At 33.7% G+C, this 23,158-nt stretch overlaps 1 protein-coding gene and 1 pseudogene across 7 annotated transcripts in view, besides 1 other annotated feature; one reads left to right on the top strand and one right to left on the bottom strand.

The window, feature by feature from the left end:
- The window catches only part of SEMA3D (semaphorin 3D), a 254,691-nt gene that overhangs the window by 214,428 nt on the left and 17,105 nt on the right, over window positions 1–23,158 (top strand). For all 7 annotated transcript variants that reach the window (NM_001384901.1, NM_001384903.1, NM_001384902.1 and 4 more), the window contains 5 exons: window positions 13,203–13,425; window positions 15,495–15,583; window positions 17,523–17,564; window positions 20,600–20,757; window positions 22,970–23,034. In NM_001384901.1, the coding sequence (NP_001371830.1) occupies window positions 13,203–13,425; window positions 15,495–15,583; window positions 17,523–17,564; window positions 20,600–20,757; window positions 22,970–23,034 (577 nt within the window). The remainder of the gene's footprint in view (window positions 1–13,202; window positions 13,426–15,494; window positions 15,584–17,522; window positions 17,565–20,599; window positions 20,758–22,969; window positions 23,035–23,158) is intronic.
- Window positions 5,876–8,065, bottom strand: HSPA8P16 (heat shock protein family A (Hsp70) member 8 pseudogene 16; annotated as a pseudogene).
- Window positions 17,009–17,303: a silencer, noted in NCBI's record as "tiled region #13705; HepG2 Repressive non-DNase unmatched - State 24:Quies". NCBI's record gives its function as "represses a minimal TATA promoter and a strong SV40 promoter by Sharpr-MPRA in HepG2 cells {active_cell/tissue: HepG2}" and the evidence as "EXISTENCE:reporter gene assay evidence [ECO:0000049][PMID:27701403]".

Below are 23,158 nucleotides of genomic sequence, written 5' to 3'. Positions count from 1 at the left end.
AACATGTTTTTTTTCAAACAATATGATTTTCAGGACTCATTTTTTTAATTTTCTCTCTTTTTAATAATGTGATAAGAACATTTAACATGAGACCTATCCCCTTAAATTTTTTAATTTACCATCCATTATTGTTGAGTATAGGTACAATGTTGTACAGCAGATCTCTAATGCTTATTCTTCTTAGCTAACAGAAACTTTGTGTGCATTGATTGGTAACTTCCCATTTTGCTCCCTCCTAGCCCTTGGAAACCACCATTCTGCTTTTTGATTCTATTATTTTGACTATTATAGATACCTTATATAAGTGGAATCATGCAGTGTTTATTTCTCTGCAAATGGCTTATTTCACTCAACATAACGTCCTTAAGATTCATTCATGTTGTTGCATAGTGTATGCAGAATTTCCTTGTTTTTCAAGGATGAATGCAGTCCCATTTTATATATATACACATACACACATCCCATATATATGATATCTATATGCACATATAAAGATATTATATATGCATCACCTGTATATAGATATATACATATATGATGCATATATCATATATAAATATATGTATGATGTATGTATAAATGTATCATATATCATATATACATTTATATATGATACAAGTCTCATATATATGTATATAGGATATATGATATATAATCCTAGATATATTGTATACATATAACACACACACATACACACACACACACATTTTCTTTATCCATTCATCTGTTGACAGACATTTAGGTTGTTTCCATGTCTTGACTATTGTGAATAGTGCTGCAATGAATCTAAGAGTGATAATATCTCATATATCTTTGATATCTTAATTTCAATTGTTTTAGATAAATATCCTGAAGTAGGATTGCTGCATCATGTAGTAGTTCTATTTTTAATTTTTTGAGGAACTGCCACACTGTTTTCCATAGTGGCAGTACCATTTTGCATTACCACTAGCAGTGTGCAAGGCTTCCAATTTCCCCACATCCTCCTTAATACTCATCTTTTGTTTTTATGATGTTATCCATATTATCCATCCTGACAGATGTGGAGTGATACCTGATTGTGGTTTTGTTTTCAACTTCTCTGTTGATTAGTGATGAATAATTTTCATGTACCCATTGGCCATTCGTATGTCTTCTTTGGAGAAATGTCTATTGAAGTACTTAGCCCATTTTTTAATTTTGTTTTGTTTTGTTTTGTTTTTTGTTTTTTTGTCAGAGTCTCGCTCTGTTGCCCAGGCCAAAGTGCAGTGGTGCAATCTTGGCTCACTGCAACCTCTGCCTCCCGAGTTCAAGCACTTCTCCTGCCTTAGCCTCCAGAGTAGCTAGGATTACAGGTGTGCACAACCATGCCCAGCTAATTTTTGTATTTTTAATAGAGACGGGGTTTCACCAGGTTAACCAGGCTGGTCTCGAACTCCTGACCTCAGATGATCCGCCCACCTCATCCTCCCAAAGTCCTGGGATTACAGGTGTGAGCCACCATGCCCGGCCTAGGTCATTCTAATGCTTTTTTAACTATTTTTTATTCATTGAATATCACAGCTGTACTTACTCATTTCATTTACTTATATTTTAATAGTAATATAGCACTTAGGATATGGGGATATTATTCTAAAGGTTTTACAAACATTAACTTACTTAATACTGATCATAATCCCATGAAACACATGCTATTATTATTAATTCCATTATACAGATGAGGAATGTCAGGCACCGACAGGTACAGTAACTTGCCCAAGGTCACAAAGCTAATTAGTGATAGGGCTGGGTTTCAACCCCAAACTCCAAATTCTTGGCTATTTACTATCATACTGTAAATTCAAGGTCATTGTTCTTACAATAACTCCCAGTTATTAGTTCTTACACTATGATGTTGCACTACAAAAATGTTAAATTATATATTTTTACCTTCCCTGGGAGATTGTGTGTGTGTGTGTGTGTGTGTGTGTGTGTGTGTATGTGTGTGATTAAAATTGGGAAAACAGCTCTAGAAGGATCAATTTTACTCTGTTAATACTTTGGGGTTAAATATTATAGACTGTCACATTCTGAGCCTTTTCTTACTACATGAGTTTTTTGGTTTGGGGTTTTTTGTTTGTTTTTATTTGTTTTTAATAAAGACTGTCACCATTCAGGCCATATTATTTTTCAATTATCTAGATATTATAGGAGAATGAATTGGAAGCTGAGACTATTCACATTAATTACAACAACAACAAATTATTTGCATATGTAGACCCAGCAGTTGAGTCCTATAATACTCAGAAATAGAAAATAAGTATCGAAATGACTACATGCTGATGCATCCTGGTTACATTATTTTCCAACTCGAGTGTAAGTTAAGATGCTTTACAAGTGGTGGTTGTCACCGCCTTCCCTGCTGCTGCCTAAAAGAGCTGTGAATGTCATGCGAGGCTTAAAGAGAACTCACGTTTTACATGACTGTCCTCATAAGCACACAGACACTTCTCTGAAACGTGAGTAAGAGACTCCCCGAAAGTAGGAAAATAAAAATGTCAGTGGGAAGTGTTTTTCATCAATGAGAAAATAAACACCAAATTATGTTCAACATACTGGTCTCTTCTGCCGACTACTCAGAATATAGTCTTTATGCTGTAAGAAATTGTCTTGAAAAGTTCAAAATTATTTAGCAAATAGCCTGCATCTAAACCATCAAATAAATACTTAATTTTTACTTTCTAACAACTTGGGAAAACAAAAGCATGATTAGGACTAAAGAAGGGTCATTTAAGGAAGTTATTACTCAATTTTTTCTCAACATTAATATTTATCATACAATTTTTATGCCTTTAAAAATATGTAAACACATTTGCACCTGAAGTTGAGCTCTGAGAACCATGCCTAATAAAGAATCTTTCCACCGTAGCCCCTATTAAGGCTGTAATCAGTAATAGAGACAGAAAGACCAAGTCTCCTTCTGAAAGACTCCACCAAGAAAACTCTCTTTCATCAAATATTATGTCCTTTTATAGAACTTAAAGAGATTTTAAACATGCCAGTTACTGTCAAAATTTATTTATTTTTACAGTTGTGGTTAAAGAAGGAGGATTTTCTTTTTGGTTGTACTGAGTTAAACTGTTATATCTATGCTCTCTTTAGATAAGCAGAAACCACATAATATAAATTTATTAGTATGAGACTAATAATGTTGAGGTATTTTTAAATATTTTTATTGATCAACCCTATCCAATTGATTTTGTGTTAGTATAGTGACAATCATTTCTACTAACATGTTTGCAGGCTTTATCTAGAAATCCGTGGTAGCTAAGGACATCAGCTATTTCCAAATAACTAGCTACTTATGTATTCTCTTTGAAATCACTGTGACCAAATTTGAAAATGTCTGAAATCATGCATAGATAGGTAGCCTTTTACTTCATTGCTTCTTCAGTCATTTTTACAACATCTTGTTTCTTATTAGCACTCAATGCTATTAGTGTGCTTTTCTACATTATGTTTTATATTTAGAATACTGATGTTGAATTTAGGAGCATCATATATGTGATGTGAAAATCTGTTATACAAATACACTTTACCATTAATAACACTACACATTAAATCATTGAAATTATATTTCACAGCGTATCAGATAAACTATGCCTGTAAAATTTGAGAATGTAAGAACTGGAGTGAATGATAAAGACCACGTAATTCACCCTCATTTTACAGGGAAGGGAATGAATACCCAGAATAATTAAATAACTTTCCCAATATCATATTGCCAAAAACAGTGGAATGAAGAGGGATGTTGAATTTTCTGATCAGTCTTCTCTCTCTATTCGTTAATATTCTGTAATATGCACTTATTTCCTAATATTTATCTGATTGATATACTGCCGAATGTCCCACCTAAAATTAGCTGCATTGAATTTTACATTATTTCCTGGCATTCTTTCTTATTTGTTTTCTAAAAGCAGCCCAATTTCAGTAATTTTTGTTTATATAAAGTTATGATTCTATCTCTCTAAATATCCAGAATATTTTGATCAAACTCATTACTGAACACTTCTTATGATCCAGACACTCTGATAAGCCCGTATACGTTATCTCACTACATTCTTAAAATAAACACACAGAGTAGGTATTATTATCCCAATTTTATAGATAAGAAACAAGCCCAGCGAAGGTAAACATATGTTCATGCTCTCACAGTTTATGAATTGTTATGACTGGAATGAAACTTACTCTACTTAACTCCAAATCAAAAGCCATTAACCTACCTTTTGTTCTACCTTCAAAGGGATAACAAATGAGCAACCAAACAGAACTTTATGCTATTTTTCCAGAGATTTGTCTATTCTCTGCACAAGTAATAATGAATTTTGAAACTTTACTACACTTACCATTTCTCTTACTGCAATTCAGAGGAACACATCTTACTTTAATAAAAGTATTGCTGAATACTTTGCTTTCTATGAAATTGTTAGAACCTTTACTAAAAGCCATATTACACTTAAGTTAAAGCTTTAACGTAGGTTATTTTTTAAAAAATTGTTTTTACATTTTCTGCATCTGTATTGCTATTAAGATTGAATTCTAAGTTGTTCTCCCAGTGGTGAGACTTCTGTTGACATTATCACTCAGTTAAATAAACACTACAACTTTCAGTGTGTCAAGCTTACTTTAAGTTTTTGGTTTTGACAGAATGCTGTACTTCTTTGACAAAAAGTCAAACCTAAACTCCTAGCTTAACCATGACATCACTGCTCTGCAATGTTAATAAGCCTAGAAAAGCAAGAATGCAAAAGGATATATTATAGAATTCCTTCACTTCAAATGATTCTTCTGCCCTCTGGTGTCCAAATAGAATATTTGAACAAGCCATATTTTGTTCAGGTGGATTTTTTCAATCATTATTGCCCTGCCAGGTTTTGGTAATAAGAAGTTCCAAGTGAAATAAAATATTAAAAAGTCCATAATACAGTGAATCAATCATACAGGTCAGATATAGAAACCAAATTGAATCCAGCCCAAAATAACAGACTGCTAGAAAACCCAGAATCTAAGAAAGATTTGTAAAGGCAGAAAATTTCCAACTTGATAGTTGGTTTTTTATAACTGATGTACTCTGCAGTTTTATTCTGTGTAGCCAAGGGATTTTTAAGATTTATGCATAAGTGTAAAGTATTAGTAAATATTTCCTCAAAAGTGAGTTTCAGTTTTAAACCATTCCCTTATCAAAAAGGTGAGGAGAAAATACTTGTTTTTGAAGTTCAAATATAAAATGCATGTTTTACTTTGCTTGAATCATTTTGCCACCATTTTTAAATAACTACTAAATGTCTGATTTTGTAAAAATAATGATTCCTTTTTAAATTCCATTTGCTCCCAAATTGTTACCGCGTTAAATGTTAGTTGTTTTAGTTTTACTTTTACAGATGAAAGCTTACACGTGGATTTCCCAACTAAGTCTCCATTTTTTGGTGGGAAATAAAAGGAGGTAGTTATAGGTACTTTTTAAATATTTCATAAATTCATTTTACTATGTGGACACTGATGAACATAAATGCATGATAATTTTTATTAATAGCTCAAACACCAGAAAAGCCTGTTCTTTTTACTTTTTTTTATCTAGGTAGTTTCAAAAAAAAAAAATAGGTGGTGAAAAATGGTGATTCTAAGGATTCCTGAAAATTTTTTGGTTCAAAAATTTGAAACAAAGCCATATTTAAGGAACATCATAACATGGTAAGAAGCATCCTGGGTAGAGTACCTAGAGACTGGACTTCTCACGCCAGCATTGCCTCTTCCACTGTCCAACACTAGAGACATTAAATAAATGCTCATTTTCAGCTCAAAATCTTTTTTTTTATTCAGGGGTGGAGGTTGTGGTTAGTTTTCTTTTGTTTAATCTTTTTTTGATACCAACTTTAAATACAGTTTTATTTAAGACATTGCATTTTCCACTTACAATACAATGTTTATAAAGTGCAATGTTATTTCCTTTCCTTGTGCTCATGTTCCATATTCAAGTATTGAGAATGCCCAGTAATTTAGTATAGCAGCTCGACCGTAAAACTGCCATAGAATTTGATACAAATTTGGGTTCTTCGGTGTTTTAACTATGTAGAAGAATGCTACATCTATAGTTGGGTTGTCTTAATCAACCTCTTCAGTGGTGGGCCCTGAAAAGCACCACCAGATGCAGGAGCTCTACCACCAGGAAATCCCCCTGGCATTCCTCCTAGCATGCCTTCTGCACTCTAGTCCAGTTTGGTTATCATGGACTTGAAGACTTCTCCAGCTCTTGCTGTGCATGTTCAAATTCTTCCTTCTCTGCAGTCTGATTCTTGTCGAGCCAGTTGATAATTTCATGGCACTTGCTAAGAATCTTCTGTTTGTGCTCATTGTTAATCTTGACTTGAAGTTTCTCATCTTCAGCAGTTGCTTTCATGTTGAACACATAGGGATCAAGTGAATTCTTGGATGACACCTTGTCCCTCTGCTTCTCATCTTCAGCTTTGTACTTCTCAGTTTCCTGGACCATAGGCTCAATGTCTTCCTTGCTCAAATGGCCCTTGTCATCAGTGAGAGTAGACATTGAGGATGCCCTTGGCATTAATATCAAAGGTGACTTCAATCTGATGAGCACCATGGTGTGCAGGAGGTACGCCTGTGAGCTCAAACTTGCGAAGTAGGTTTTTATCCTTGGCAATGACATGCTAGGCTTGTCAGAGTAGGTAGTGAAGGTCTGTGTCTGCCTGGTAGGAATGGTAGCATCACACTTGATGAGGACAGCCATGACTCCATCAGCAGTTTTAATATCAAGGGAAAGAGGAGTGACATCCAAAAACAGAAAATCTTGAACATTTTGAGATGTCTCTAGATAGGACGGCTGCCTGGACAGCTGCATCATAAGCAACAGCTTCATGAGGGTTGATGCTCTCATTCAGCTATTTTCCATTGAAGATGCCTTGGAGAAGCTACTAAATCTTGGGGATACAATTAGGACCACCAACCAGGACAATATCAGGAATCTGTGGTTTGTCTAGTTTGACATCTCAAATGGATTTCTCTATGGGGTCCAGAATGCCACAGAACAGGCTCAGCATTCAATTCTCCAAATTGGGCACAATTAATGGAGATATAGAAGTGGATTCCTTCATGAAGAGAATTGACCTCAGTACTGGTTTCAGTGCTGGAAGAGTATGTTTAGCAAGTTCACAAGCAGTATAGAGGTGCCAGACAGCTCTCTTGTTCTCACGGTGTCCTTCCATGTGTGCACTATAACTCACCAGTAAAATGGTTGACATTTCAGTTGTGAAAGTCCTCTCCACCTAAGTAGGTGTCTCTGGCTGTAGATTTCACCTCAGAGATTCCATCCTCCATAGTGAGGATCAAAAACACCACCTCCCAGGTCAAAGATTAGCACATTTCTTTCAGCTCCAACCTTTTTTTTTTTTTTTTTTTGTCTAAACTGTAAGCAATAGCAGCGACAATTGGCACATTGATAATTCCAAGTACATTGAGACCAGCAATAGTTCCAGCATCTTTGATAGCCCTGATGCTGAGAGTCATTCAAGTAAGCTGGCACTGTGACCACAGCATTGGTAACAGTCTTCCCAAGGTAGACTTTTGCAATTTCCTTCATCTTTGTCAGAACCATAGAAGACACCTCCTATGGGTAGCAGCTTTTTGTCTCTCTCATACTCTACTTGGACCTTGGGCCTGCCAGCATCATTTACCACCGTGAAAGGCCAATATGTCATATCAAACTGGACAATGGCATCATCAAATCTGCATCCAGTCAGACATTTGGCATCAAAAGCCATGCTGGCACGGTTCATTGGAACTTGATTATTTGGAGTATCACTAATCAATTGTTTGGTATCCGTAAAGGTGACATAGTTTGGCATGGTTCGGTTTCCCTGATCATTGGCAATTATCTCTACTTTTCCTTGCTGGAAAACACCCATATAATAGTAGGTGGTGCCAAGATCAATACCAATTGCAGGTCACTTAGACACAGATGTTTGTGTGCATGGTCAGCTCAGATTTCAAAGTGAGACACAGAACCCCAAAAGCTGCTGCTGTGTTCAATGAGACCCTTGTTTAATATTCCTTTTATGTTGGGAAAACAAACATTAAGCCGCATAAAACATCAAAAACACTAAGCTAACCTCCTTCTTCCTGTCTTCCATGGTTTTACTTCTGAATATAATATGTCCTTTTAGTGAGAAAATAAAGTAAAATAAAATATCCTATAAATCTTGGTTAACAAAACTTGACTAAGAATATTCTGTAAAACTTTATTAAGAAAAAAATATTTTCAACTACCACCAATGTAAAATAATGAAATATCTCTCCCTCTGCAAGATTTCAAATCTTTGTCTAACAAAAAGCCCCATATGTACAACTCACATTGGTTTTCACTGGAGAAAATCAATGGCAAATGCTAAAAATTTCCTCTCTTTGCTGTAGGGCCTTTATTGTTCCCCCTTTTTGCTATAAGATAAAACCTCCAAACTTGAGATATACGTGTAGATGTGTCTGACAGTCATTTATTTCCCACTAAATCATTAGACTTTCTAACATTGTAAGAGTCATTGAAAAATTATAAAGTTCTTTTGATTCTGGGTCCACTGAAAAATTCGTCTTACAAATGCACTACCCTGAACCAGCTCTGGGCCCTGGCATACCGTTCGGTTGTAGAAAGATCTTTTTTACTCTAACATATCAAGGCATCACTGCCATGCCTGAGCTTGGTTTCTGATTTTGCTTTACAGAAGTAAATCTTGGAGAAGATAGATCATAGGATAATAATACATAATATCAACAATTGGGTTTCCATAGTGGACTTGAAGTATGTAATGTGTTCTTCAACTAGAACTGGAATATTGCTTAGAAATTCCAATTTTTACCTTGCTTAATCTTCTCAACAGCAGGGGTTTGAGGTAACCATGGATTCCACAAGTTCAAAACTTTTTAGCTACCCTGTTTTCTCTTTCTGCCCCACCTAAACTATTTTACTTGAGCTTTAGCATGATTCTAAATACACTCTTTTCCTAAGGAGCTGATGGTTCTCAGAATATATGTATTTCTTAACCTCATACATTAGATTTTAATTGTAAACTATGCTGATCCCATTAAGTAAGAGTTTTAAAAGACATGTTTTATAGTTGACTTTCAAACATAGGTGTAACTGACCAAAGAAAAAAATGTAATTCAAAAATAATATCCAGAACTTTCTATTAATTTGTCTAGTGTTAGACTATGATAGTCTTACCAAAGGAGACTGAAAACTACAGAGTATGATGCAGGAATTCTCTCATAATGTCTCACACTATCTTCCCATTTGTGTACCTGAGGAATGTAGCTAACATCTTATTGCTATTGTTTGTTTCATTTAAGCAAGTCTTTCCTAATTAATTCAAAATCTGTGGAAAACTTTTGGGGATATCTCATTATAGGCATCAGTGGCTCACTCATGTCTCTCTATCATATTGAATTCACAGTTTTATTTTCTCTTTAATATTTGCTCACTCCATCACCTTCCACTTATTGGATAACAATTACTTTATCATCTCTCTAAATTACTGAGGATATCTCTAGTTCTGTTCATTCATTCCTGGTGTTGGTTCTAGAAGGGAGAAGCAGAGGCAGGACTAGACTCTGGATATCCTGAGTCCAGATTCCTAAAACAGATTACACTAAAGGACACGTATCACAAAATATCACTATCATTTCCCTTTAACTGTGTGTAGGCCATGTTTCCCTAAAATGGAGATAGTCAAGGGGCTTCCAAAAGGAATTAACCTTCCCAACTGGCTTTCAGCTTTATTTTCCAGAGGGCAAACAATTTGCTTTTAAAATGAAGTTCTTCAAATCCCAGGCTATTTACTATGTTCAATAGTGTTTTGCTTTTTCTGGCATAGAAATTCCTTTAAGAGAAAGGGAACCTTAAAGAAAAGGAGAGGGAGAGGGAAGGAGAGAAATTACCTCTGTATGTTTGCCCCGGCCTCTTTGTCTCTGATATTTAATACAGGGTCTTTCCTTGCCTTTATCTGTTGTAGGTTGACTCTTCGATGAATAAGCAGGGGTATAAGACGGCAACTGTTACATTTGCATTTTTACTCTATAAATAAAACTCAGGCTTCTGAAAATGAAAGCCTAGTTCAGTCTTTCTTTTGCCATGTCTTCCCTCACATTAGTCATTCCTCTGACTTGTTTCAAAGGAAACTGCAACCTGTAGAGAATAGCCTGAAGCTGCGGGGAGAAAAAACCTTTGACAGCTGTCTGGGGCTTTGCCAAGGGGAAAAGTTCTCTCTTTGGATAAAAACCATTTTTCTCCTCTTATCCATTGCTTCCCATTCCACTACTAAAGGCCCTAGACAAACACGCAGACTTGCCAAGCATAACATGATCACACCTAGCCAGCTATGGCAGCCAGCCATGGGAGATAGGCCCTGAACCAGGGCTGGTTGCTGTTGGGTTTCCACTTTCATCTCAGGGTGTGTCTAGGCAGGTTCTATTTTCTCTTCTTCTTTTGTGCTGGTATTAATATTTCCAGCACAAGAGAAGAATACTGTCTTTGAGTATTTTACAACAGCGGGTAGAGACACAGATAAGTTTCCTGATTTATTTCCTACTCTCCTAGGAGCTAATCTGGCAAATTAAGAAAACTGGAGGCAGAAATAAATGTCCCCGTATGGTATGTTCAGGTGGGCTGTGTTAATACCTAGAAATTAAAAGTACATACATACGGAGAAAAACCCACTAGATTTCTAATACCTGAGATGTATAGCTGCCATAGGAGAATTTTCTAGAATTTGTTAAAGGAAAATAACTGAATATGAATGACCATCCGCTTTAGATGTATCATTTCCCTACACTTTCTCTTTTCTTTTACGAAATTTTTCTTTCCTACTTTACTCTTACCTACATACATTGCTTGGCATCTCATTATTTTTAGATCTGTGTGCAGCACAGCTATATGATATCAACGCAAAAATTCCACTGGTTTGAATGTACTGAAATAACAATATTTGATTCAAACTGTACTATCCTAAACCTCAGAGAGTAACTCTACCAAATCATTTTCATTTGTGCAAGCATAGTGGAGACGCAGACCTGAGATATCATGCATAGCAATTGAGAGGATAAAGATCTTGTCCAAACACTGGCAACATGCCATGAGGAAAAGCTGCCATAAGAAAAAATATATATTTTCAAAGATCATTTTATAGTCAATAGAAACCAGGTTTTCCTTCCTTTTTTTCCGCCTTAGATTTTATTACACTTAAACCATTTTTGTCGGAGCAATGAGGAAAATTCATATTTATTTTTTCTAAGTGTTCATATTTTCATTCAGCTATACTTTCTTGCATTAAAATTTCTAATTATTTAACAATTTGATATCAAAAACTACGGCTTGAATGTCATGATATTATTTCTTTGAAAACTTTGGCTACTGCACAACTACAGCTGCAAAGTCAAAAGTGATTTTTTCTTAAGTTGGAGGGCTTTTTAAAAACTGTGTGCAGGCAAAATCTTGCTCTGGGTTTGATTTTAATGATACACCAACCAGATTGAACCATAGGCATTATAAGCCTACTATGAATTGTCTTTGACTGAGCCTCAAACATGCAGCCTATAATTGGACAAGAGCTTTGTATCATTTGAGCTCCATATCCATTTTGAGTCCCTGCTTAATCTATTTAATGCAAGGTTCTTCCATTATTGAGTTGACGGATTCCGCTTGGCTGAAGGTTAAGTGCTGGAAATAATGACTGAACGTGCAGACTTAGATCTTTAGACCAACATCCAGTTAAGAATATGTTAAGTAAATGCAAAGTGGATAATATTCTAGGACGTTTCTAATCTCTCTGGTACAGACCTGGGACAAATAACTAAATATCCAGAAAGTATCAGTTTCTTAATACCAGACATTGAAAATTTTTGTTAAAGATAAAGATATTCTTAAATTATTTATAGAAAAACATTAACAGACTTTTAGTACAACCTCTTTGATATTTCTTCTAATTCATAATAAGCCATTATGATTTTATTGGTATAAAATTTGGGGTCAAAGTCAAATATTGGGACTAGTTCTAGTATCTTCAGCTCCCTAAGAATGACCCTCTTGAATATTTTGAGAAGTACATTATGTTTTTGGAGCCTTGTCATGATTCTAATTAGTGCCAAGTTTAAATGGTTCAGTTCCATGGAGACTGTTTCCAACTTCTCTAAAAACTGAAACAAAGAAAAGCACCATTAAAAAAATCTGTCCTTACTGTCAATCATTTTATTCTCTATGACTGCATCAATTGACTAAAGTTTTCCTCTCCAAAAGAATGCATTAGTCCATTGAGAATTCAAATGTGATAAAAGAATCGTTCTATACGAGGTACCTTCCTAAATTGCAATATGTTTAAACATAAAATAGATTTAGGATGTGGGAGAGGTGATATTTTCTGGAAAAAAAAAGTCTAATTATAAGGTGTTTTTTCCCCTTTATTTTTGGATAAAGGCACATAAAATTCATTTGATTTGAACCATTTTGAACTTTTTACTCTTACCACCAGGGGGCAGGTCATGCTAACTATTGATTTAGTGGATGCTGAAAGGCACATAAGGCAATTTTAGAAAGAAGTATAAAATTCCCTAACAGTTTCTTTGCAGACTCTTTAGGAGAAGAGCTGTTGAATTGTTCAAAGTGTAATTTTCACACTAATCATAAAAGAAACTACATAATTACAATTTCAAACTATTAAATACTTTGAAATTAATTTTTGTGAACTGTTTGTTCCTTTTTTATTTTTTAATTAAACATGGTTTCATTTGAACTGAAATTATAAATTACTCAAAGGAAATTGAAAATAATGGCTTTCCACGTGTTCTCATGTTTATAGATCAGTTTCTTAACAGTTATTTCAAGTTAGATTTCAAATATCTTCATTAGAAACAATCTTCAGAAGAAATAATCTTCATAAGAAAAGAATTCACTATGGAAACATTATAAAATGCAGAGGTAATTTAGAAAATTTTTGAAGGAGAAAACTGGGTTTAAATTTATTAGAGGCACGCTGCATTTATTTACAAGTACACATGATTCCATATTGACTCTGTTGTCCATTCATTTAATATTATTGATGATAAGCTATACAAATTTTATTGGAAATAAGTGTGAACTTCTCAGGTGCATAAACAATGTCTTTACTTTCCTCCACATTTATTTTCAGTGTCCAAGCAAAACCTATGACCCACTGATTAAGTCCACCCGAGATTTTCCAGATGATGTCATCAGTTTCATAAAGCGGCACTCTGTGATGTATAAGTCCGTATACCCAGTTGCAGGAGGACCAACGTTCAAGAGAATCAATGTGGATTACAGACTGACACAGATAGTGGTGGATCATGTCATTGCAGAAGATGGCCAGTACGATGTAATGTTTCTTGGAACAGGTAAGCTAAAACTAGATTAGGATTTTTTCAAAAGGAATTTTTCATTATTAGACAAAGAGAAGAACAACTTCAAAAATATTTATTGGTCAAAATAAAAATGAGTAATTATTAGATAAAACCTTGTCAGCATTTCTTAAAATTATGTAGCTTTTAATTGATAATCATAAATATCTCCCAACTTCAAATCTGAGATTTCAAAATGTATTTGACAGCAATGTGTCTACTCTACATTACATGCTCAATACATATTTGTTGAATGATTTTGAACTACAATTAAACAAGTAGGGCAAAGTAATGTTTATTTTCAAACTTTGCCTTTCCCTCTCTTTGCAAGTATATTCCCAAAAGATTCCTTCACCTGATTTTGAGAATCACTGACTTAGTTGACTTAAGATAGATTTTCAGAAACATTAAACATTACTTTGTAAAGACCTTTAAATAGAAACTTCTTGGAGATTATCTTTCTTCTTGAATTTTGTGCATTAAAATGTATTTCCTAGACTCAGATTTTAAGCCCATTGTATTTTTTCTTTGTCTGTCAACTCAGTAACTATAAAATGATTAAAATGTTTTTATAAAAAGAAAAACTTAATCTCAAAAAAAGTAAAAGTATTAGCTAATAATGTCATGGGAATTCTACTGGCAGTAAAGATAACATGTATCATTAAAACAAAAGCACTGTATTCCATATCATATTATATAACTTAATGGATCAAGCATTTCATAAAGAATTAAAAATTAAGAATTTTCAACAAACAAGACTTTTTATTAGAATAGATATTTAAGAGTTCAAAACAATTTTAGAATAATTTTATTTTTAAAAATTATGGATCTTATAGAAGTTAGGTTTATTAGGAAGTATGTGTGTGACGGAATCAGAGGACCTTTGTCATTGATTGTCAAACCTGATTATTTTGAAGATGGCAATTCCACAAACCAGAAAAATAAGGGATATTCCCAAGACAAAAGAGATGGCTGTTGAAGGGTCAAAAGTAGAATTAATTAGTTGCTATTAATTCCCACAAGTTTGACGCTTAATTTGTACTGTCCACCCAAAACTAGGTGTTCAACAGTTCACTGCAATGAATGTCATTTAGCCACTAGGTGGTAATATCTAACCTTTACTGAGAAAATTATAGACTGCTAAGATAGGTTTTTAATTTTGACATTTGGAAAAATGTACATTTAATATTCTTTAAAGATCCCAGAGTTATTTAAAAACAATTAAATAATTCAGACTATTTTGTGCGAACAGGATCATTATTATATACGTTACTATACTCCAACCCCAGTGCTCAGAAGTTTAAAAATGCCTATATTATATAAATTAAAGTGGGATTTTTTTTTTCTTTTTCTAAACTGTTCTTTTAATTTTCTTTCTGTACTAACCTGACACTTCATTTAATTTCAATGTAAGATGATGTATTTAAGATACCTCTTTTAAATGTCAATTTTTGGTTTGCATTATCAACCTTGTATTAAGTTGAACTTAAATAATTTTAAACAAACCTTCCATTTCTCATCTATTAATAAGGATTCTGAAGATAGAATACATTTGAAGAGTGAGCTACAATTTCCCTCAGATAGCTTCAATGATTTTTTTGTTCATTTGACAACATTATTAAAAGAATATATATCTGTCTTTCATGGTGAATTGGATATAATAACTACTTAATAAATATATATTACATGGAAGGAAGAGAGAGAATTTGTTATTTTAATATATTTTTAACTTTTTCAGTTAAGGTCCAAAACGTTTGCTCTATTAACGTTTCAAACAATATTTAAATTATACATATATATCTATATATTACTTTTGTTAAGAATATACTCTGAATATGCATCCTTTAACATTCTCTCTATAAATGGGTGTTCTACTAGCTAAAAGCTATATTTTGGGAGGACAAAACTTAAACATTAAGCTTCAGTTCATGCATGTTTCATTTAATCTGTTTTTTGAAAGGCATTTAAAGAGAAGTGAGGGGAATGATTTGCAGGTTTCTAGGGATATGCTTACCACTAATTTTTGAGATAGAAACAATGGGATCATGGGTTATGCATTTTTTCAGACATTGGAACTGTCCTCAAAGTTGTCAGCATTTCAAAGGAAAAGTGGAATATGGAAGAGGTAGTGCTGGAGGAGTTGCAGATATTCAAGGTAAGACTCAGTCCAGAGTGCCAGGAGAAAAGATGTTGAAACTGAGTAGCGCTTGTTATAGGGCACCCTTGTTTTAATACATCATCAGGTTACCTGAAGAAGCCTTTGAAATTAGCTTTCTTAGTTTTCTTTTCCCAAAGCAGTGGAAAAAGTTTTATAAGCGACTAGGAATGGGACTCACCTTCCTCTGTAGAATACCGCTGAATTCAGGGCTCCCGGGATTGCCTCTCATTACTGCATTCTCTAAGCATATAGTCAGACAAATTGCCACATTAAATGAAAGCCTGGGGTCTCTTTTACTATCCAGATGCTTTTCTACTTTATAAATTTTACTTTTCAATTTTTCCCCAATTGAATTTGAGAAAAATAGACCAGTGTATAAATCATGTGTCCCTGCTTTTCTGTAAGGAAATTAAAAAAATATATAGGTTGCATCATAGTAAGTCTTCATGTATGCTAAACTCCTCTCACCCGGCAAAAAGAGTTAGTAGATCTAGAAGAATAGTTCTCCAGATTTGGAGAATGTCTTTGACTTTTAACAATAACTCTCAATTGTGGCATGCTTTGTAAATCCTCAGTAAAATTAAGTTTACAATTATTTGCTGATTGTAACATTTGAAATACTTTTTTTCTCAGAAAAACTTTTTTAAAAATATGCTTTGTTTATTATAACATTTTTATTGAGACAGTTTATTAAAATGGATTGTTTCCATGTAAATAATGCTTTAAAAGAGAATAAAGCCTTCCTCTGTGAGGGGCTCAAGTTAATTAACATGCTGAGTTCCACAGGATCCTGTTTATGTTGTGATGATAATAGTGGTCAAGGAGTTAACAAGAACAAGACCTGCTATCTGGTGTCTACCAAAACAAAATCTTGGGTGGTTCCTAGGGGAAGGCCAGATGTCAAACATAAGTGTGAACCCAGAGGCCAAAAATACAGTGCCTATAACACACATAAGCACATTAGAACAAGTCTCGTTCAATGGTGTTAGACAGTGGTCAAGAAGAATTACTTGGATTCTGCTGTTAAAATTACATAAATGACCAGCTTTTGTTTTCTTTTCTTATTGTAAAATCAGCTTTATTGAGGTATAATTGAGATACAAACAAAAAACTGAACATATTGTATGTATATAATTTGATAAGTTTGGCCATGTTTTTAAAATTGATAACAAAAATGCTATTTGATAGAACTTTCTCACTGAAATTTTTTTTCATATATTTCTTTAAATCTTTAACATCTAATACTGCTTGTCAATTAGCAAATATGAGCTGGTGCTAAATGAATAAATAGTAGATAGATGATAGGTAGATGGAAAATTTTTTAAGCCATCTTGTCCTTTTTAGTTTGTTAGCTTTTGTGTTCATGTTTCTGATTTTATCTTGCATGCATTGAGCCATATTTTTTTACAAACAAAACTAGCCTTAGTTCATATTGTGAAATCATGTGCACCAGTATTGTGTAGTGTTCCGTAAAGAATATGATCATCCACAAGGAGCACTATAACTTCTCAAAACTCTGCTACTTAAACAACTTTTTGAACCACTGATCTAAGTAAGAGCAGAAAGAGGTAATAAATAATTATGGAGATGTTCTTGTCAACACTAGTTTGACTTATATGGAAGCAGTTAAGATAAGCAGATTTAGAAGAAGAACACTTGTGAGTAACTGGGAACAATTTTCAATGCAGAGTATTTTCTTATACATTTAAGTCACTTATCTTTAATAAGATACTACAAAATAACTTTTTATCATTTCTGTTAAGGTACAATCACTACATTTTGGAAGAAAATAGCAAACAATAAGAACTTTATTTCCTTATGTAACAGAGACTTGATGTTTACTTCAGTGATATATGGCATCAGATAAAACAACATATTGTTTAATATAAAAACCTGTTAATGATTATCTTTATTGACATTTAACTTCTATTTTCAGCACTCATCAATCATCTTGAACATGGAATTGTCTCTGAAGCAGGTACTTTTTAACTTTTGTATGAAAGTTAATCACAAAAGCAATGGGCTGCTTGAATCAAACTTTATTTGAAAAAAAATCCATTGAAATTGGGAGTTAAATTTTAAGAAATTTAAAACATTATTTGTTTCTCTTGTAATTCATTAGAGACCATTGTTTCAGCCTTGCCTTGGGAGAAATTGAGCCAAATTTTATTAATTGAATGATGCATTCTCCCCTTCCTTTGGATCTTAAAAACTGAACTCACTTTCCTAGTCTCATGAGAATGTCATTCTATCAAGCCCATTAGACATTCATGTAGAATATCAACCCTAACCATTACAAAGGGTTTTTAATCTGGGGGTCTAGGAGTTAGAATATGAACTGTGGTGGCAGCCCAACAGCCAACCTTCCACATATCACATAATATCGAACTCTCAGAATCAATTTCCTCAACAGTAAAGTTAGAAAAACAATATCCACCTCCAGAGTTTGTTGGGAGTTTAAAGAGGATGCTTCATGCAACATTCTAAACAGAGAGCAGGCACATAAGTGTAAAGTAAATGGTAACTAATTATAATAATAGTAATAATCTTTAACATTATTTCATAACTCTCTGATATGATATTCCAAATTACAATTGTTTCAAGAGATTCAAACTGCACTATTATTTCTATTTGCACCCCCAAGATATAAGAAAGCCATATGACATGTTCAACATCAAGGTGTTGCTAAAATTGACTTAATCTATTACTGTTCCTATGGCAGAGTGATTTTTTTAGGAAATTATCTAAATAGTTTTCTTCTTCAGGGCTTTGTCATTTATTTGTTCATTCACTTATCATTTATTTCTTGAAGGCCTAAGGTGCTTGGAGGGTACATGAATGAATGAATAACATAGCTCGCCATTAACCTCCAGAAGCTCACAGTATAGCTGAGTGTCAAAGGAAGACACTTACACTGCACAGTAATAATAGAGTCTAGAAAGACAGAGACAAGAAAGTGGCCTAAAGGGAGCCAGAAGGAACAGGGAAAGATAACTGAAAGAAGAGACATACAGCTTGAATTATGAAGGATGTCATAGTTAACCAGATATATTAAAAGGAGAATGGAATGGAGGAGTATATGCCAACCAGAAGGGGAGAATCTTTGCAAAAGTGTGAAGAGTGAGAGACTATAGCTTATTGTAATAAGTTTGTGTACAATTAGAGTATGGATCATATGTGTGTTCAAAGGGCAGGAAGGCTAGAAATGAATCTGGAGAAGTAAGACAGAACAAGATTAGGCACAACTTTATATATCTTTATATATCCTCCTAAGAAGTTTAGCAGCATATCTTAAAAACAATGAAAGCCCCTGGATGCTTGGATAATGCTCACCTGTAGTGCAGCTACTCAGGAGCCTAGAATGGGAGGATACCTTGAGCCCAGGAGCTCAAGTCCAGTCTGGGCAACATAGTGAGAACCTGGCTCAAAAAAAAAAAAAAAAGCCATTGAAAAGGAAAACAAACAAACAAAAATACATTTATGATTAAGAAGGAGGGTGTTATAATAAGATTTTCTTTTTAGAAAGATTAGTCTGGTGTGGCAGTGTGGAAGATAGACTGGGTACTGGGGTAGAGATGGGGGTTGTTGGAAAACAAAATCAAAGCCAGCAGAAATAGGACACTTACAAGTAATCCAGGAAAGAAGTGATAAGGACTGAAACAAAGTTAGTGGCTGTAGCAAGGGAGGGGAGGAAATAGATTAGAAAATTCTGTATGAGAGAATGGAAATGAAGTGATGACAGACTGAATGTGAGAGAAAGAAGATTCAAAGACAACTCCCAGATTTCTGTCTTGGATGACTTGGTGGATGAGAGTGCTACTCTCCAAGGTAGGGCAGGAGGAGTAGATTTAGGGGGGGTTATTACATTTATACTTATATTGTTTTCAAGATATATCTAAGTCTTTTGTACAATATAAAAGGTAAATAAATAAAGCAAAAAGACGGAAACCCAACATTTAATGCAAAAAAAAAAAAAAAAGGAATCACAAAGGAGACAAATGTCTTAATCCGAAATGAAGAGGGAGAATAGAAAGCAGAGAAAGTTTCAAGGAACATATAGTCATTAGTGTCAAACAGTATAGAGAATTTCAGTAAAACAAATACTAAACAGTGTTCATTGCATTTAACAACTAGGAAGTCTTAACTGACAGTTTAATGGGTGCTAAAGGTGTAAGACCCATTTCTGTAAGTTGAGTACTATGTTATTATGCCAATACCTATTTCTAACATAGATATCCCCCCTCTAACTCTTGAAATGGTCCACTAGAGTGGACCATGAGTTCTTTGAAGGCACAGATTGTGGCTTATTCACTTGTATCACCCCTCCCCCTCCACCGCTACTACCACAGATACTCAAAAGAATGTATAAGGGAAGTAATGCATTACTTTCAGGACTTATATTGAAAATGTGATTTTGTTTGCTGGGTTTTTCAGTATCATGCAGCCTTTCATTTGTGATATAGCATCCCTCAAGCCTGTTTAATACTTTCTTCAGAGTGATAACAAATACTTTCTCTCCCACTAATAACTCACATTCTTTCAAGGATCAGTACTTTAATAACAAATGAAATGGTTAATTGAAATCAGGGGAATGCTTTATAAATTTATTTTCAGTCGTCTCTTATATAAGGAGCCATGGGAAGTCTTGGGAAGACCGTGAGCTTTGCCTATAGCATCTGTGCTGGACATAATCTCTCAAAGTACATTTTCTAGTATTGAGAAAGAATTTGACATCTTAATTCCTGTCTAGCAGCTGGTTTTTGACCTTCTGAAATTACTGCCAAGCTTGTAGAATGCTGTCCATTTCAGCATCAAAATCTTCAAACTACCATCTAACCAGGATAGAAATGATTGACTTATTTTACTCCTCATTATGTTTCTGTACAAGTGTTTACAATGGGCAGGACACCCAGAGAAACAGATTTATATGTATTATGTGATATTCAAGAAAAGGAAATTCTTAAGACTAGTCTGAAAGATGCTTCTAATTCATTTGTTTTGCCCGATTTGCAGCAACAATTGTACATTGGTTCCCGAGATGGATTGGTTCAGCTCTCCTTGCACAGATGCGACACTTATGGGAAAGCTTGCGCAGACTGTTGTCTTGCCAGAGACCCCTACTGTGCCTGGGATGGAAATGCATGCTCTCGATATGCTCCTACTTCTAAAAGGTAAGAGGCACATGGAGTTAATATAAAGGCTTCCTTTCTACAAGCTGAATATCTCACATTAATGCTTTGTCTTATAGTTTAAGTTAAAGAGAAAATATATTACTAACATGTCCTATGGAAGGAATATTAAAATCAAAATGTTGTTTTATATTTTTACATAAAACTTAATTTTGAAGGAGGGTAAAACAGATGCTCTGAAATTCTGAAATATGGAACTTCAAACAATTTTAATAAATTCTATATATTCTTTTCTTTCATTTATGTCAAGCACTATTAAAGGTTTGTTTTTATTCACTATTTTGCCTTTTTTATAATTGTTCCTTCCTTATTTCTTATTTCTAAATATGTATATACTGATGCCCACTGTTTTGCAAATAATATATAAATATATATGATTGTACAAGCACAGATTGTATGAAACCCACAGTGCAGCCTAGTGACTTGGTATAATTTTATTTTTACTCTAATAATTATAACTTGGTCAATTTCTGCCACTCATATAATTAAACAACAAACGGTTTCCTTGCTGTTTGTAGTTCATTGCTTTATGTGCTCTTAGAAATAATGCTATTTTGAGCCAACAATTCCAAGCTAGGAATTTGTTCTATATACACATGTGCAAAAGTACAACAAAGTTATATGTTCAAGAATGTTTATTTCAGCATTATTTTTATAGCAAAATAACTGGAAACAATATGAATGCCCATCGATATGCCTGATGCTAGCTAAATATACTATGTTAATTATTTTAAAATGTTGATTATAGTAACATTATTTTCTAAAGTATTCGAAGTATATTTTCCTCTAGGTGAAATGTAAGCAAATTTATTTTTAGGTCTGTTTTTAAACTAACAGGCACATGCTAGTCTCATTACCACAAGTACACTTTTTTCTTTTTGGAATTTTATTGATTTCTCAAATTCTAAATTCTAGGAAATTACAAATTGAATGTATAGTTCAACAGCAAATATTACTTAAAATTAGAAAACATTTTATATTCCCTGAAATCCATGAATTAAATTGAAATGGGTACATATGATTATTAGAAATTAAAAGTTAAAAGTCACCCACATTTTGTTATGGTTTTTGGCCAAGAACTTGCTCATTATAGTCTTTGGGGAATGCTTTCCTAGAAGCTGAAAAACAAGAATGCTCATTAGTTGGTAATAAACCTTCAGTTTGATGAATTGACCCTGTTCCTTAAGAAGCTAAGATTTAAAAACATTCTTGACCTATGTACCTTATACCATCATAATTTTTTCTTCTTGTATTTCCCAAGACTGTATCTCTGATCTTTCAGACATGCCACTGTGATGTTTTCCCTTACCTAACATAATGTCATGTGAGCCAAAAGATGTGTATAATGGATGAATCTTGTCATCTGTTGTCATCTGTTCAGCATTACCCTCAAGGAACACTATAGATATCACAGAACATTTACTGGTACTTTTCTGATCTCTGAAGTGACAAAATAAAATAGCCAAAGCAAATGAAAGTATGCTGTAAGAGTGTAAGACCTGCTTAGATGTAGCAGGGATTTTTTTTAATAAAATAATTACTCCTTTCTTTTAAGGAAAATATGTGATGTGATACAAAAGCCATTGTTTATTATTATTATTATGATCATAACTATGAGAAAAACAATTTGAGCTACTCATCAGCAGATAGAAATAACAGGTAGTCTTTTATACCACACTGAATTTATAATTCTATTTCAAGTTACAGTATTTAGTTTGTTGCTTAATTAAATCTATGCAATAATGAATCTTTACATGACAAGGTGTTTTGTATTTGTGTATATGTTCCTAGCCACTGACTGAACGCTTTTATATATTATTATTTCTCAATGACTGACTAAAAAGAGAGTTCCTAAAGAGAGTAGCTATCCTCATTTTAATTATATAAAACCTAGGTTGTATTTTTATTTAACCTTTTTTGTTGAATAATTTGTGAAAAAAATAGAGAAAAAGAAGCGTAGTTAAATAAAATTCATGTCATCTCATTGTCTGAAAAGGATTTCTTCTATTTGGACCTCATTACCAGTAGTTTTTTAAATCAATGTTAGATTGATTGGAATATTGACTTGCATTTAAGTTGAACTGTAAGACAAGCATAGTACTGCATCTGCCACTGTTATTAGTATTAGATGTAGCCTTTCTATATGATGGTAATCATGCTTGAAGTTCTAATAAGTTTAATCCCCTTTCCGCAGGAGAGCTAGACGCCAAGATGTAAAATATGGCGACCCAATCACCCAGTGCTGGGACATCGAAGACAGTAAGTACAGCTCTGATATGCTTTTTCTCCCATTTAAAATGCTAAGCCCACTCTTTGTATCTTTTTATTATATGACTTAAACCATCTATTATATAAGAATATCTCCATTTTGTGTAATGCATGT

This window comes from Homo sapiens, chromosome 7 (genome assembly GCF_000001405.40).
Source record: "Homo sapiens chromosome 7, GRCh38.p14 Primary Assembly".
NCBI lineage: Eukaryota > Metazoa > Chordata > Mammalia > Primates > Hominidae > Homo > Homo sapiens.
Note: the sequence above shows the minus strand (reverse complement) of the source record. Positions and strands in the feature narration are given on the sequence as shown.